The following is a 15,266-nucleotide window of genomic DNA, read 5'->3' on the forward strand; positions in this document are numbered from 1 at the left end:
ACCCTTAGTCGGGATTTCTTTTGTTCTTCACTCTTTGATTTTTCACATGTACGTATCTATCCTACCTGTCTCACCTCAAAATTTTCTTTCCATTATTTGTTCTTTATGTAGCTCCCCTCCAAATTTGTGCTCTCCCTATAGATGATTAATAGAGGTTTGAGGTTCCAAGACTAGGTCTTTTTTGGGGTTTTTTTGAGATGGACTTTCGCTCCGTCACCCAGGCTGGAGTGCAGTGGCGTGATCTTGGCTCACTGCAACCTCCGCCTCCTGGGTTCATGCAATTCTCCTGCCTCAGCCTCCCGAGTAGCTGGGATTACAGACGCATTACCATGCCCAGCTAATTTTTGTATTTTTAATAGAGGTAATTGTATATTTTTAATAGACGCGGGGTTTCAGCATGTTGGTCAGGCTGCTCTCAAACTCCTGACCTCAAGTGATCCACCCACCTTGGCCTCCCATAGTGCTGGGATTACAGGTGTGAACCGCCGCACCCAGCCCCAAGACTACTTCTAATACTTTTTGTTTTGTTTTGTTTTAGAGAGATTCTTGCTATATTTCCCAGGCTGGTCTCATATTCCTGGCGTTCAAAAGATCTTCCTACCTCAGCCTCCTGAGTAGCTGGAACTACAGGTACTCACCACCGTGCCCAGCTCCCAGCTACCTAATTTTTTTTTGTTTTTTTTGAGACAGGGTCTTGCTCTGTTTCCCAGGCTGAAGTGCAGTGGCACAATCATAGCACCGTCTCACTGCAGCCTTGACTTCGAGCTCAAGCAATTCTCCTGCCTCATCCTCCCAAGTAGCTGGAACCCCAGGCACATGCCACCATGCCCAGCTAATCTTTTATTATTTGTAGAGGCAGGGTCTCACCAGGTTGTCCAGGCAGGCCCAACTACTTTTTAATACTTCTCAGAAAAATAGGATCATAGAGTTAGAAGGAACTTTCTCATAACCTGTGATTCTCAGAAGGAGTTTGGTGGGTCCAAGGAGCCCCTGAAATTGAATGTCAATTTTAGTACACGTATGCATCTTTCTGGCAAGAAGGCCCATAGCTTCCATTGGGTTCTCAAAGGGTTCCATGATCATACCTTCCATTCAAATCCCTGCTGTGGACCATACAGTTCAGTGTTTTTCAGAATAAGGCTGGGAACCCAAGTTAATTTTGGAATCTAGGTCATGACTTACATTTAAAAAAATGAATATAGAATAGAAAATATCATCGTGCATCACACATAGTAAAGACATTAATTTTTTATTAACTAATAATATTTGATTCAAAATTTTTATTTATAACTTTTTGATGTTACATATATATAAAATCAAAATATCGAACCTCATTCATTTAATGAATTTTTCGTTGAGTATTTGCCATGTAGCAGATATTGCTGAAATCACTGGGGAATATAAAAATGAAAGAGAAATGTTTCTGGTCCACAAGCAGCTTATATTTGGTAGGAAAGAGAAAAATACACCAAAAATAACAAAAGAACCATAACAGCCACTACAGAAGTAAGCACAAGGTACAAGGTGGTGCAGAGGACAGCATGAAAGACCGTTTTGAGAATTCAGGTGGGGCCACACTGGAGTTGAGTCACACTTAAAATGAGCAGGAATTTGCAGGGAGAAATAAAATTCTAGCCAAGGGGCTGGGCATGGTGGCTTGCGCCTGTAATCCCAGCACTTTGGGGGGCCGAGGTGGGCGGATCACGAGGTCAAGAGATCAAGACCACCCTGGCCAACATGTGAAACCTCATCTCTACTAAAAATAGAAAAGTTAGCAGGGCATGGTGGTGTGTGCCTGTAATCCCGGCTACTTGGGAGGCTGAGGCAGGAGAATTGCTTGAACCCGGGAGGCGGAGGTTGCAGTGAGCAGAGATTGTGCCATTGCACTCCAGCCTGAGCAACAGGGTGAGACTCTGTCTCAAAAAATAAATAAATTAATTAATTAAATAAATAAAAATAAAAATCTGGCCAGGTGCGGTGGCTTACTCCTGTAATCCCAGCACTTTGGGAAGCCAAGGTGGGCGGATCATGGGGTCAAGAGATCGAGACCATCCTGGCCAACATGGTGAAACCTCGTCTCTACTAAAAATACAAAAATTAGTGGGGCGTGGTGGCATGCACCTGTAGTCCCAGCTACTCACGAGGCTAAGGCAGGAGCATCTCTTGAACCCGGGAGGCAGAGGTTGCAGGGAGCCGAGATCGCGCCACTGCACTCCAGCCTAGCGACACAGCGAGATTCCGTCTCAAAAAAAATAAAAAACATATAAAAATAAATAAATAAATATTCTAGGCAAAGGGATTGACATGCATGAAGACACGGCAGTGTAAAACAACTTGGGAACTTGGGATGGCCAGGGTGCCCTAAGTGGTCTGGTATGTTGTCCCTGTACTGTGGGGTCCAGTTGGCCGGGGTGCAAATGCAGGCTGGATCATGGAGAGTCTCCCACTGAATGCGGAATATTTTAAATATCCCCAACACACTGTCACCCAGCTCTGCCTGGGCTCTCTCAGACAAAGAACCTAGATCTTTGTAAGGTACTTAATTCTGTTTCTGAGCATCCGATTGTGACAAATTCCTTCCTATATTGATGTAACATTTGCTTCCCTCTTTCACCCAGTGATTCTGGTTTGCCCTCTGCAGCATTAAAAAATAAGTCTACATCCTCTTCTATTAGGTTGAACCAAATGAAATTGCTATTTTTATAGATCAAAACAGTTGAACATTGACAGTTTTATATTGTCAGCCTTATTATACCTGTTTGAGGACATTAGTCTTCTCTTCCCCATCAATAATATCTCCAAACTCCATCAAATTCTTTCTCACCTGGTAAAGTTATGAGATCTTTTTCAAATATGATCTCATATTTAGGCATATTCTAGTTCCTCAATATTTTTCTTTCTTTTTAATGTTTGATTTTTGTTTGTTTGTTTTGAGATAGGGAGTCTCACTCTGTCGCCCAGGCTGGAGTGCACTGGTGCAATCTCGGCTCACTGCAACCTCTGCCTCCTGGATTCAAGTGATTCTCCTGCTTCAGCCTCTCGAATAGCTGGGATTACAGGCGCCAGACCCAGCTAATTTTTGTACTTTTAGTAGAGACGGGTTTCAGCACACTGGTCAGGCTGGTCTCGAACTCCTGACCCCAAGCGATCCACCCGCCTTAACCTCCCAAAGTACTGGGATTACAGGTGTGAGCCACCACACCTGGCCTGTTTTTTTTTTTAGATGGTGTCTCGTTATGTCACCCAGCCTGGAGTGGCGCAATCTCGGCTTACTGCAATCTCCGCTTTTTGGGTTCAAGCGATTCTTGTGCCTCAGCCTCTCGAGTAGCTCGGATTACAGGTGTGTGCCACCGTGCCCAGCTAAATTTTGTAGTTTTAGTAGAGATGGGGTTTCGCCATGTTGGCTAGGCTGGTCTCCAACTCCTGACCTCAGGTGATCCGCCCACCTCAACCTCTCAAAGTGCTGGGATTATAGGCGTGAGCCACCACACTCAGCCCTCAATATCTTTCTTAATATGGGACAGTCAGAACCAGTCAGTTTAAAATGCAGGGAGACTATTCTCTCTCTGGATCTGACAGTGTGTCTTTTCATGAAACTCTGACTGCATTGGGTTTCGTGAGACCTGAACCTTTTTCACACAAGATACTGTCACACCAGTCCTACTCCTACCTGTGCAATTAATTTTTTTTTTTTTTTTAGTAGAGATGGGGTTTCTCCATGTTGGTCAGGCTGGTCTCGAACTCCCGACCTCAAGTGTGCCCACCTCGGCCTCCCAAAGTGCTGGGATTACAGGCGTGAGCCACCATGCCCAGCCCATTTAGTTTTTTTTTTTTTTTTAAATCAACTGCGCCGGGCGCAGTAACTCACATCTGTAATCCCAGCACTTTGGGAGGCCGAGGTGGGCAGATCACCTGAGGTTGGGAGTTTGAGACCCGCCTGACCAACATGGTGAAACCTGGTCTCTACTAAAAATACAAAAAGCAGCTGGGTGTGGTGGCGCCCGCCTGTAATCCCAGCTACTTAGGAGGCTGAGGCAGGAGAATCGCTTGAACCCAGGAGGTGGAGGTTGCAGTGAGCTGAGATCGTGCCACTGCATTCCAGCCTGGGCGACAGAGCAAGACTCTGTCTCAAAAAAAAAAAAAAAGAAAAGAAAAGAAAAAGAAATACAAACCTCAGCCAGGTACAGTGGTTTACATCTGTAATCCCACTACTTTGAGAGGCCGAGGCAGGTGTATCACCTGAGGTCCGGAGTTCAAGACCAGCCTGGCCAACATGGGGGAAACCCCATCTCTACTAAAAACACAAAAATTAGGCCAGGTGTGGTGGCTCACGCTTGTAATCCCAGCACTTTGGAAGGCCGAGGTGGGTGGATCACCTGAAGTCAGGAGTTCAAGACCAGCCTGGCCAACATGGCAAAACCCTGTCTCCACTGAAAAAAATACAAAAATTAGCTAGGCATGGTGGCAGGTGCCTGTAATCCCAGCTACTCGGGAAGGCTGAGGCAGGAGAATCGCTTCAACCCCAGAGGTGAGGTTGCAGTGAGCCAAGATCACACCACTGCACTTCAGCCTGGGCGACAGAGCAACAGTCCATCTCGGAAAAAAAAAAAAAAAAAAAAGAGCTGGGCACGGTGGCTCACGTCTGTAATTTCAGCACTTTGGGACACCAAGGTGGGCTGATCCCAAGGTCAATAGGTAGAGACCATCCTGGCCAACATGGTGAAACCCCATCTCTACTAAAAATACAAAAAAAGTAGCTGGGCATGGTGGTGTGTGCCTGTAATCCTAGCTACTCAGGAGGCAGAGGCAGGAGAATTGCTTGAACCCGAGGGGCAGAGGTTGCAGTGAGCCAAGATCACGCTACTGCTCTCCAGCCTGGGTGATAGAGCAAGACTCCATCTCAAAAAATAAAATAAGGGGCTGGGCGCAGTGACTCACGCCTGTAATCCCAGCACTTTGGGAGGCCAAGGTGGGTGGATCACCTTAGGTCAGGAGTTCGAGACCAGCCCGGCCAACGTGGTGAAACCCCATCTCTACTAAAAATAAAAAATTAGCTGGGCATGGTAGGGGGAGGAGCCTGTAATCCCAGCTACTTGGGAGGCTGAGGCGGGAGAATTGCTTGAACCCAGGAGGCAGAGGTTGCAGTGAGCCGAGATCGTGCCACTGTGCTCCAGCCTGGCAACAGAGCAAGACTCTGTCTCAAAATAATAATAATAATAATAATAATAATAATAATAATAAAATAAAAGAGCCAGGCACGGTGGCTCATGTCTGTAATTTCAGCACTTTGGGACACTGAGGTGGGTGGATCACAAGGTTAAGAGATAGAGACCATCCTGGTCAACATGGTGAAACCCCATCTCTACTAAAAATACAAAAAAATTAGCTGGGTGTGGTGGTGTGTGCCTGTAATCCCAGCTACTTGGAGGCTGAGGCAGGAGAATCAGTTGAATCTGGGAGGCGGAGTTTGCAGTGAGCCGAGACCCCACCACTGCACTCCAGCCTGGGCGACAGAGCGAGACTCTGTCTCAAAAAAAAAATAAAAGAAAATAAATACAAACCTCAACATAGTAAACTTGCTGCTATTCAAGAGCCATTCTCCTCGGTAATAATATTGAGCACTAACATGGTTTTATCCTTATTTTTAAATTAAATTATTTTTAGTGTATTTTATTTTATTTTTGAGACAAAGCCTTTTGTTTGTTTGTTGTTGTTGTTGTTGTTGTTGTTGTTGTTGTTGTTGTTGAGACGGAGTCTCGCTCTGTCGCCCAGGCTGGAGTGCAGTGGCGCCGTCCCAGCTCACTGCAAGCTCCGCCTCCCAGGTTCACGCCATTCTCCAGCCTCAGCCTCTTCAGAAGCTGGGACTACAGGCTCCTGCCACCACGCCTGGCTAATTTTTTGTATTTTTAGTAGAGATGGGGTTCCACCGTGTTAGCCAGGATGGTCTCGATCTCCTGACCTCGTGATCCGCCCTCCTTGGCCTCCCAAAGTACTGGCATTACAGGTGTGAGCCACCGCGCCCAGCCAACAAAGTCTTACTTTGTCATCCAGGCTGACGTGCAGTGGTGCGATCATGGCTCACTGCAGCCTTGACCACCTGGGCCCAGGGAATCCTCCCACTTCAACCCCCTGAGTAGCTGGGACTACAGACCCATGCCACCATGACCAGTTAATTTTGTCAAAATTTTTTGTGGATACAGGGTCTCACCATGTTGCCCAGGCTGGTCTGGAACTCCTGGCCTCAAGGAAACCTCCTGCCTCAGCCTCTCAAATCGCTGGGATTGTAAGCGTGAGCCACAATACCCAGCCCTAGCACTAACATGTTTTAACTCATTTAATCCTTTGGACAATCTTGTGATGCGGGTACTGTTATTATCCCTATTTCTTTTTCTTTTTTTTGAGATGGAGTTTCGCTCTTGTTGCCCAGGCTGGAGTGTAATGGCGCGATCTTGGCTCACTGCAACCTCCGCCTCCCAGGATCATGCTATTCTCCTGCCTCAGCCTCTCAAGTAGCTGCGATTACAGGCGCCCCCACACCCCGACCATGCCCAGATAATTTTTGTATTTTTAGTAGAGACGGGGTTTCACCCTGTTGGCTGGGCTGGTCTTGAACTCCTGACCTCAGGTGATCCACCCACCTTGGCCTCCCAAAGTGTTGGGATTACAGGTGTGAGCCACCACGTCCGGCCTATTATCCCTATTTCATGAGTGAAGAAACTGAGGTATAGGGCAGTTAAGTAACTTGTGTAACTTATGGTTAAATGTGTAACAAATGGTTAAAAAGTTGCACAGACACTATTTGAACCTAGACATTAGGTCTCTAGAGCTTCACACTCTCAATCCCTACAGACACATCTCAGACTAGTCTACTTAGGTTCATATCAAATTCTAATCTAACGCCAGGCACAGTAGCTCATGCCTGTTATCCCAACACTTTGGGAGGCTGAGGCGGGAGGATCACCTGAGGTCAGGAGTTCAAGACCAGCCTGGTCAACATGGTGAAACCCTGCCTCTACTAAAAATACAAAAATTAGCCAGGTGTGGTGGCACACACCTGTAGTCCCAGCTACTCGGGAGGCTGAGGCAGGAGAATCACTTGAACCTGGGAGGTGGAGGTTGCAGTGAGCCGAGATCGTGCCACTGCACTCCAGCCTGGGGACAGAGCGAGATTCCGCCTCAAAAAAAAAAAAAAAAAAAAGCAAAAAACAACACAAACTAATCTAACTTTCTTAGTGATCCCTACAATAAAATTCAGGCTCTGATCTCTACCCTGAACCCTATCTAATACACAGCCTGTTCTATTAGCAGCTCTGCCACATAAAATGGCCTGGATCAGTCTGGGGGGTTGGGGTGGGGGGAGGCGTTCCAGGACTGCCTTAGCCTGTGACAGAGGAAGGAGAATGGGGTGGGATCACAGGCGGAGGAGGGACATCAGTCAAACCCTCTCTGTCTGCAGAGGTGCAGCTTCCCCTTTCTGCTCTGTGGGTGGGTCCTCCCAGACAGGAAGGGAGCAGTTGGCTTAGTCGGTCTAGTTTTCCCTGGAACTCAGCATACTGTGAAATTTAGGAGGTGCCTGAGGCCAATTTAGGCAAGTTCTATTCAACAAACATTTGTTGAGTCCCAACAATGGGGCAGACACTGTGCTGGATTGGAATAGAACATAAACATATCACATATTGTAAAAATAAAGATAAGCACTTCAATAGCCAGTTACCTCCTAAGTGTGATAAGAGCCTGGATTGCTACAGACCTGAGTGTATTGTTTGGAATGAGGGATGGCAAGAGGAGAAAGGAAAAAGGGGAAGTAGGGATAAGGCGCCTATTACTGGGGTTTTTGGTTTCAAGGAAACAATCCAGATTAGGGAAGGAAAGAATAACTGAGTAAGGATTGCTGGCAGAAGGGAGGCGCCTTCAAGAGTACTGAGTTATTCAGCTGCAGGTGAGTCAAGTACCTTACCTGTTTATCTGGAATGCTTGAGGGAAGGAAGATATGAGGGCAAAGAGCAGTCAGGAAGATCCATTGTGTGTGTGTGTGTGTGTGTGTGTGTGTGTGTGTGTGTGTGTGTGTGTGTGTGTGTGTGTTTAGGGTTGTGTGAAATGCGAATTCCTGCTTTTTCTTGGCAGCTTTTCTGGAAATTGTGATGACAGCTGGTGGTGGGAAACATCACTGAAATACTGAAATTACTAGTGACCACAGCTTTTTCTCTGCTCCAGGTGACTGGCTATCACCTGAGCCATTCCAGACGGCGCCTACTGTGGATTTTCCTTTTTTTTTTTTTTGAAACAGGGTCTCACTCTGTTACCCAGGCTGGAGTGCAGTGGTGCAATCTCGGCTCACTGCAACCTCCGCCTCCTAAGTTCAAGTGATTCTCCTGCCTCAGCCTCCTGAATAGCTGGGATTACAGGTGTGTGCCACCACGCCCAGCTAATTTTTGCATTTTTAGTAGAGACAGGGTTTCACCATGTTGGCCAGGCTTGTCTTGAACCCCTGACCTCAAGTGATCCGCCTGCCTCAGCCTCCAAAGTACTGGGATTACAGGCATGAGCCACTGCACCTGGCCAGATTCATTTTTTTTCCTCTTGCTCATTTAGTAAAGTGAGGGTATTATTGTTTTTCTGTGTTTTTGTGTGTGTGTTTTTTTGAAGTAGGAAGGGAGGAAGAGACAGGTTCATTTTCCAAGAGCAATTAATGAGCATTCCACATTCTCTACATTAACCAGAAAGCTTATTGTGGATAAAAAGCCTGGACAAGAGACCCAGTCAGCAGAGAGATCCACTTTCTCATTTTAGATCTACTCCCACTTACTGTGAGTTTTAGAAGTGCACGACCTAGGCGGGGCGTGGCGGCTTACACCTGTAATCCCAGCACTTTGGGAGGCCGAGGTGGGCGGATCACGAGGTCAGGAGTTTGAGACCAGCCTGGCCAATTTGTGAAACCCCGTCTCTACTAAAAACACAAAAAATTAGCCGGTGTGGTGGCATGCGCCTGTAGTCCCAGCTACTCAGGAGACTGAGGCAGGAGAATCGCTTGAACCCAGGAGGCAGAGGTTGCAGTGAGTGGACATCCGTGCCATTGTACTGCAGCCTAGGTGACAGAGCAACACTCCATTTAAAAAAAAAAAGTGCATGACCTATCTGTATGTCCGGTTTCTCATTTTTGGTGGATGAATAATACCTTCTTGTGTCTCAATGACATTGTGAGAAAGGAAAATATTCAAAGTAATTAGGAAAGAGTACTCTGTAGAGATTTTATTGTTATTAATAATTTCCCAGGCTGTGTTGGAAAAGTAAAAAGGCCATGGATGATATGCCATTTTTACCTTTTTATTAGAAACAGGGTCTTGCCACGTTGCCCAGGCTGGTCTCAAACTTGGGGGCAAAAGTAATCTGCCTGCCTTGCCCTCTGGAAGTACGGGGATTACAAGCATGAGGCACCACACCAGGCCGGGAATTTCCTAAACTTTTCAAACTGTGGAGTGCAGCCCTCATTAGCCAAAACTGATGGATCTGAGCATAATAATTTTTTTCCACAGAAAATTAGTAGAATAAAATAATTTAAGAGCTAGAAAGAACTTTGAAGATGATCTAATCCATTACCTAATTTTACAGATGAATAAACTGAAACAGCAAGGGGTTCTAGACAGATAAAGGATTTGGGTGGCACTGTTGGAAAGCCAGAAGATTCTGATAACCATCAAGGGAAAATAATGTCTTTTAATAGTTCTTAATATTTAAACAAAACAGGTGATGGAAACTCATCTGCTCTTGAATGGGCTAAGTTATGTACCACCTGTCAGGGAAGAGCTAAATGGAAACTCAAGCTTTATTTCTCTTTGTCTTGTTCCAGTTTATTCTTTGGGTTATATTTCATCAGCCCTGGGGGTTCCAGAAAGAGATCATGGGAAGACCAAGTATTAGGAAAGAGTGCCTGTTCTGAGTCAAGGTAACCTGGCTTCTGCCACTGGCTCTGCCACTTACAAGCCACTGAGTGGCACACACTAGGTACTCAATAACTGCTTGATAAACAAGTCATGGCACATCCCTGTAGTCCCAACTACTCAGGAGGCTGAGGCAGGAGGATCACTTGAGCCCAGGAGTTTGAGGCCAGCCTGGCCAACATCATGAGACCACGTCTAAAACAAGAAAAATCACATGAAAAGGAAATGATTTTTCTAAAGAACTAAATTATTAATGATTATGGAAAAGATTTCTCTCCTGTGGGTTATGGTAAAATGTGAAACTCTGTTGGGATACCTTTTTTTCGAGACAGAGTCTCACTCTGTCGCTCAGGCTGGAGTGCAGTGCAATGGTGCAATCTCGGCTCAGTGCAATCTCGGCTCACTGCAACCTCTGCCTTGCAGTTTCAAGCCATTCTCCTGCCTCAGCCTCAGCCTCCTGAGTAGCTGGGATTATAGGTATGCGCCACCATGCCCGGCTAATTTTTGTATTTTTAGTAGAGACAGGGTTTCACCATGTTGGTCAGGCTGGTCTTGAACTCCTGACCTCGTGATCCACCCGCCTTGGCCTCCCAAAGTGCTGGGATTACAAGCATGAGCCACTGCACCTGGCTGGGATACTTTTTTTTTTTTTTTTTTTGAGACGGAGTTTCACTCTGTCACCCAGGATAGAGTGCTGTGGCGCAATCTTGGCTCACTGCAACCTCTACCTCCTGGGTTCAAGAGATTCTCCTGCCTCAGCCTCCCCAGTAGCTGAGATTATAGGCACCTGCGACCACGTCTGGCTAATTTTTTTTTTTTTTTTTTTGAGACGGTGTCTTGCTCTGTCGCCCAGGCTGGAGTGCAGTGGCACGATCTCAGCTCACTGCAAACTCCACCTTCCAGGTTTGTCATTCTCTTGCCTCAGCCTCCCAAGTAGCTGGGATTACAGGTGCCTGCCACCACGCCAGGCTAATTTTTGTATTTTTAGTAGAGGCGGGGTTTCACTGTGTTAGCCAGGATGGTCTCCATCTCCTGACCTCGTGATGTGCCCGCCTCGGCCTCCCAAAGTGCTGGGATTACAGGCATGAGCCACCGTGTCCGGCCAATGCCTAGCTAATTTTCATATTTTTAGTAGAGGCGGGGGTTTCACCATGTTGGCCAGGCTGGTCTCAAACTCCTGACCTCAGGCGATCTGCCTGCCTCGGCCTCCCAAAGTGCTGGGATTACAGGCATGAGCCACTGCGCCTGTTGGGATACTTCTGGATTAAAATCCTATGAATATTTATTCTTCAGAGTGTTTTTTTTTTTCCTCCCCATTAAAATGTTTAAGCTTTGATATTTGCAGGAGTGGCAGAATCAGGTTTATAATATCTGCCTGCATCATTTTCAGGTGAGTGGAAATACTAAAAGTATATTAATATAGTAACAGTGGCAAAAGAAAGAAAGAAAAAAAATCATTGGTTTGACAGTGTGGCATATCAGGCCTTGGCTGCTACTTGACATAATCTTGCCAACATCACTCTCAAAGTAATTTCTCTTATTAAATACAGCATAATCACCACCATATTCTGAACATGGATATTTAATATTGGAAAAACTATTTAAAGTATTTGATATATTTAAAGGGACAAGTTGATTTTTATGGAGCCAGTTGATATTAACCTATGCTGTTTTCCACTAAAGTGAATACCCTAGGGAATAAGAAAAGGAGAAGAGAGTTAGATATCCCTTTTAGCGGTCTCATAGCCTAAAAAATTAAACATGACAGAATGTCATTCCACTCTCCAGAAAAAGATATTTGCCAGCACACAAAGCTATTTTAAAATCCCTATTTACCCCGGGTGTGACGGCTCATGCCTGTAATCCCAGCACTTTGGGAGGCTAAGGCGGGTGGATCACCTGAGGTTAGGAGTTCGAGACCAGCCTAGACAACATGGTGACACCCCCATCTCTACTAAAAATACAAAAACTAGCCAGATATGGGCCTGGTGCGGTGGCTTACGCCTGTAATCCCAGCACTTTGGGAGGCCGACCTGGGCAGATCACGAGGTCAGCAGATCGAGACCATCCTGGCTAACGTAGTGAAACCGCATCTCTACTAAAAATACAAAAAAGAAAAAAACCCCACAAAATTAGCCGCAAGTGGTGGCCGGTACCTGCAGTCCCAACTACTCGGGAGGCTGAGGCGGGAGAATGGCGGGAGAATGGCGGGAACCCAGGAGGCGGAGCTTGCGGTGAGCCAAGATTGCGCCACTCCACTCCAGCCTGGGCGACAGAGCGAGACTCCATCCCCCTCCCCCCCAAAAAAAACAAAAAACAAAAACTAGCCAGGTATGGTGGCACGTGCCTGTAATTCCAGCTACTCAGGAGGCTGAGGCAGGAGAATGGCGTGAACCTGGGAGGTGGAGGTTGCAGTGAGCCGAGATCGCACCACTGCACTCCAGCCTGGGCGACAAGAGTGAGACTCTGTCTCAAAAAAAAAAAAAAAAAAAAAAATAGCTGGGCTTGGTGGCGGGCGCCTGTACTCTCAGCTACTCAGGAGGCTGAGGCAGGAGAGTCACTTGAACCCAGGAGGTGGAGGTTGCAGTGAGCCGAGATCATGCCGTTGCAATCCAGCCTGGGAAACAAGAGCAAAACTCCATCTCAAAAAAAAAAAAAAAATCTGAAAGCATAGTACTGGTAGGGTTACTATATTTAGCAAATAAAAATACAGCATGCCCAATTGCATTTGAATTTCGGGCCAGGCTCAGTGGCTTACACTTGTAATTCCAGCACTTTGAGAGGCCGAGGTAGGCAGATCATTTGAGCCCAGAGTTTGAGACGAGTCGGGCCAACATGGCAAAGTCCCTTCTCTAAAAAAGAGAAGATACAAAAATTAGCCGAAAGGCTGGGCGTGGTGACTCACAGCTGTAATCCCAGCATTTTGGAAGGCTGAGGCAGGTGGATCACCTGAGGTCAGGAGTTCAAGACCAGGCTGGCCAACATGGTGAAACCCTGTCTCTACTAAAATACAAAAATTAGCTGGGCATGATGATGGGTGCCTCTAATCCCAGCTACTCGGGAGGCTGAGACGGGAGAATCGCTTGAATCCGGGAGAGGGTGGTTGCAGTGAGCCGAGATTGCGCCATTGCACTCCAGCCTGGGCAGCTGAGCCAGACTCTGTCTCAAAAAAAAAAAAAAAAAAAAAAAAAATTAGCCAAATGTTGTGGTGCATCCCTGTAGTACCAGCTATTTGGGAGGCTGAGGTGGAAGGATCACCTGAGTCCAGGAGATCAAGGCTTCAGTGAGCTGTAATCATGCCACTGCACTCCAGTCTGGACCACAGAGTGAGGCCTTATCTCAAAAAAAAAAAAAAAGAAAAGAAAACTTGTAATCTCAGCACTTTGGGAAGCCGAGGTGGGCGGATCACAAGGTCAGGAGATCGAGACCATCCTGGCTAACATGGTGAAACCCCGTCTCCACTAAAAAATACAAAAAACAAAACAAAACAAAAAAACAACCCAGCACTTTAGGAGGCCGAGGCGGGTGGATCACTGGAGGTCGGGAGTTTGAGACCAGCTTGACCAACATGGAGAAGCCCTGTCTCTACTAAAAATACAAAATTAGCCAGGCGTGATGGCGCATGCCTGTAATCCCAGCTACTCGGGAGGCTGAGGCAGAAGAATCACTTGAACCCGGGAGGCGGAGGCGGAGGTTGCGGTGAGCTGAGATCGCACCATTGCACTCCAGCCTGGGCAACAAGAGTGAAACTCTGTCTCAAAAAATAATAATAATAATTGAATTTCAGATAAACAATGAATAGTTTTTAGTATTTAGTAACCTAACTTGTAACTATTGCTTTTTTTTTTTTCTGAGACAGAGTCTCACTCTGTTGCCCAGGCTGGAGTGCAGTGGCGCAACCTCGGCTCACTGCAAGCTCTGCCTCCCGGGTTCACGCCATTCTCCTGCCTCAGCCTCCCGAGTAGCTGGGACTACAGGCGCCCGCCACCACGCCCGGCTAATGTTTTGTATTTTTAGTAGAGACGGGGTTTCACCGTGTTAGCCAGGATGGCCTCCATCTCCTTGACCTCGTGATCCGCCCGCCTCGGCCTCCCAGAGTGCTGGGATTACAGGCATGAGCCACTGCGCCCGGCAAACTATTGCATATTTTTAGTCTAAGCATGTGTCTAAGCATGTCCCATGAAATAGTTGAGACTATTTACACTAAAAAACTATTCATTTTATCTGCAATTCTAATTTAACTAGGTGTCCTGTTTTTTTATCTGGCCACCCTATTACTGGGGAAAGATACTTGGTCTAACTCTTTCATTACTCTGTAGAACAAGGGGCTCTAACCTGGCTGATGAGAACGTGCCCTTAGGGTTTACTACATGGAATTATAAAGTTATCATGATCATGGTAAAAGGAGAAGAACTGAGCCTTTCTTCTGCTCCATGGATTTCCATTCTGTCTCTCACACTATGAAAGCATTTAAATATATTTCCAATTATTCAGAGTGGTAATGGATTAATTGTACTAAGTAAAGAGAATATTTCATTTAGATCTCTAGGGTTAGGATTTGTTTAAGTAGGGGCTAAGAGCCTAGGATTAACCATATAGATTTATAAACCTAGAGAACTTGTTTCTCTTGCTAGGTTTGCTCTTCCTAGAGAGGAATGAACAGACTTGATTTCATAAAGCAGTTTGAGGACTTGAAAAATGCTGAATGAACATATTTTTTCCTGATTAAGTTATCACCCACAATGAAGTAACCTACAAAGGATGACCTCATTGTTTGGCTTTGTAGGACTTGTCATACTATGTCAGATCTCCAGGGTGGAAGCCTGACTAATGGAGGCTGGAGTACTAGTACTCCAGAGGTGGGTTGAAAACAGCAACTTTTCTCTCAGTCTGCTTTAAGCACTCATGGAAAGAGCATTTTTTTTTAGCATCATGATGCTGTGCTGCACAAGATTCTGTTACCCTCATTTGAGCTGCCTGGTTATTCTAGCAATCAGATCTTTCTGTCTCCTTCCTGTTACCTGGCCTTGACACCAACTATCATGTGCCCTTTTTGCCTTGACTCCCAGGCATGCAGTTCTTCTTCCATTTTCTTTAACCCAAAATGCTAGAATATTGGAATTTCTAGGACATTTATTTACATGGCTTCTGATGACAGTGGAGAATATTTGCCATCAGGACTGTCCTGGAAAATCTAGGGTATGTGTGGTCCTCCTTGTCAACACTTGTCAACACATTTCAACACTTGTCCTCTGAGAGTTATCTAGGACTGCTAGGATATTCAGAAAGAAGAGAGGCCTGGGAGTCAGAAATTCTTCTCATCATGGC

The 15,266-nt window shown here is 46.0% G+C and overlaps 1 annotated feature.

The window, feature by feature from the left end:
- Nucleotides 7,403-7,522: a silencer, noted in NCBI's record as "silent region_8627". NCBI's record gives its function as "represses an Ori minimal core promoter by ATAC-STARR-seq in GM12878 lymphoblastoid cells {active_cell/tissue: GM12878}" and the evidence as "EXISTENCE:reporter gene assay evidence [ECO:0000049][PMID:35858748]".

Source organism: Homo sapiens, chromosome 17, assembly GCF_000001405.40.
Source record: "Homo sapiens chromosome 17, GRCh38.p14 Primary Assembly".
Taxonomy (NCBI): Eukaryota; Metazoa; Chordata; class Mammalia; order Primates; family Hominidae; genus Homo; species Homo sapiens.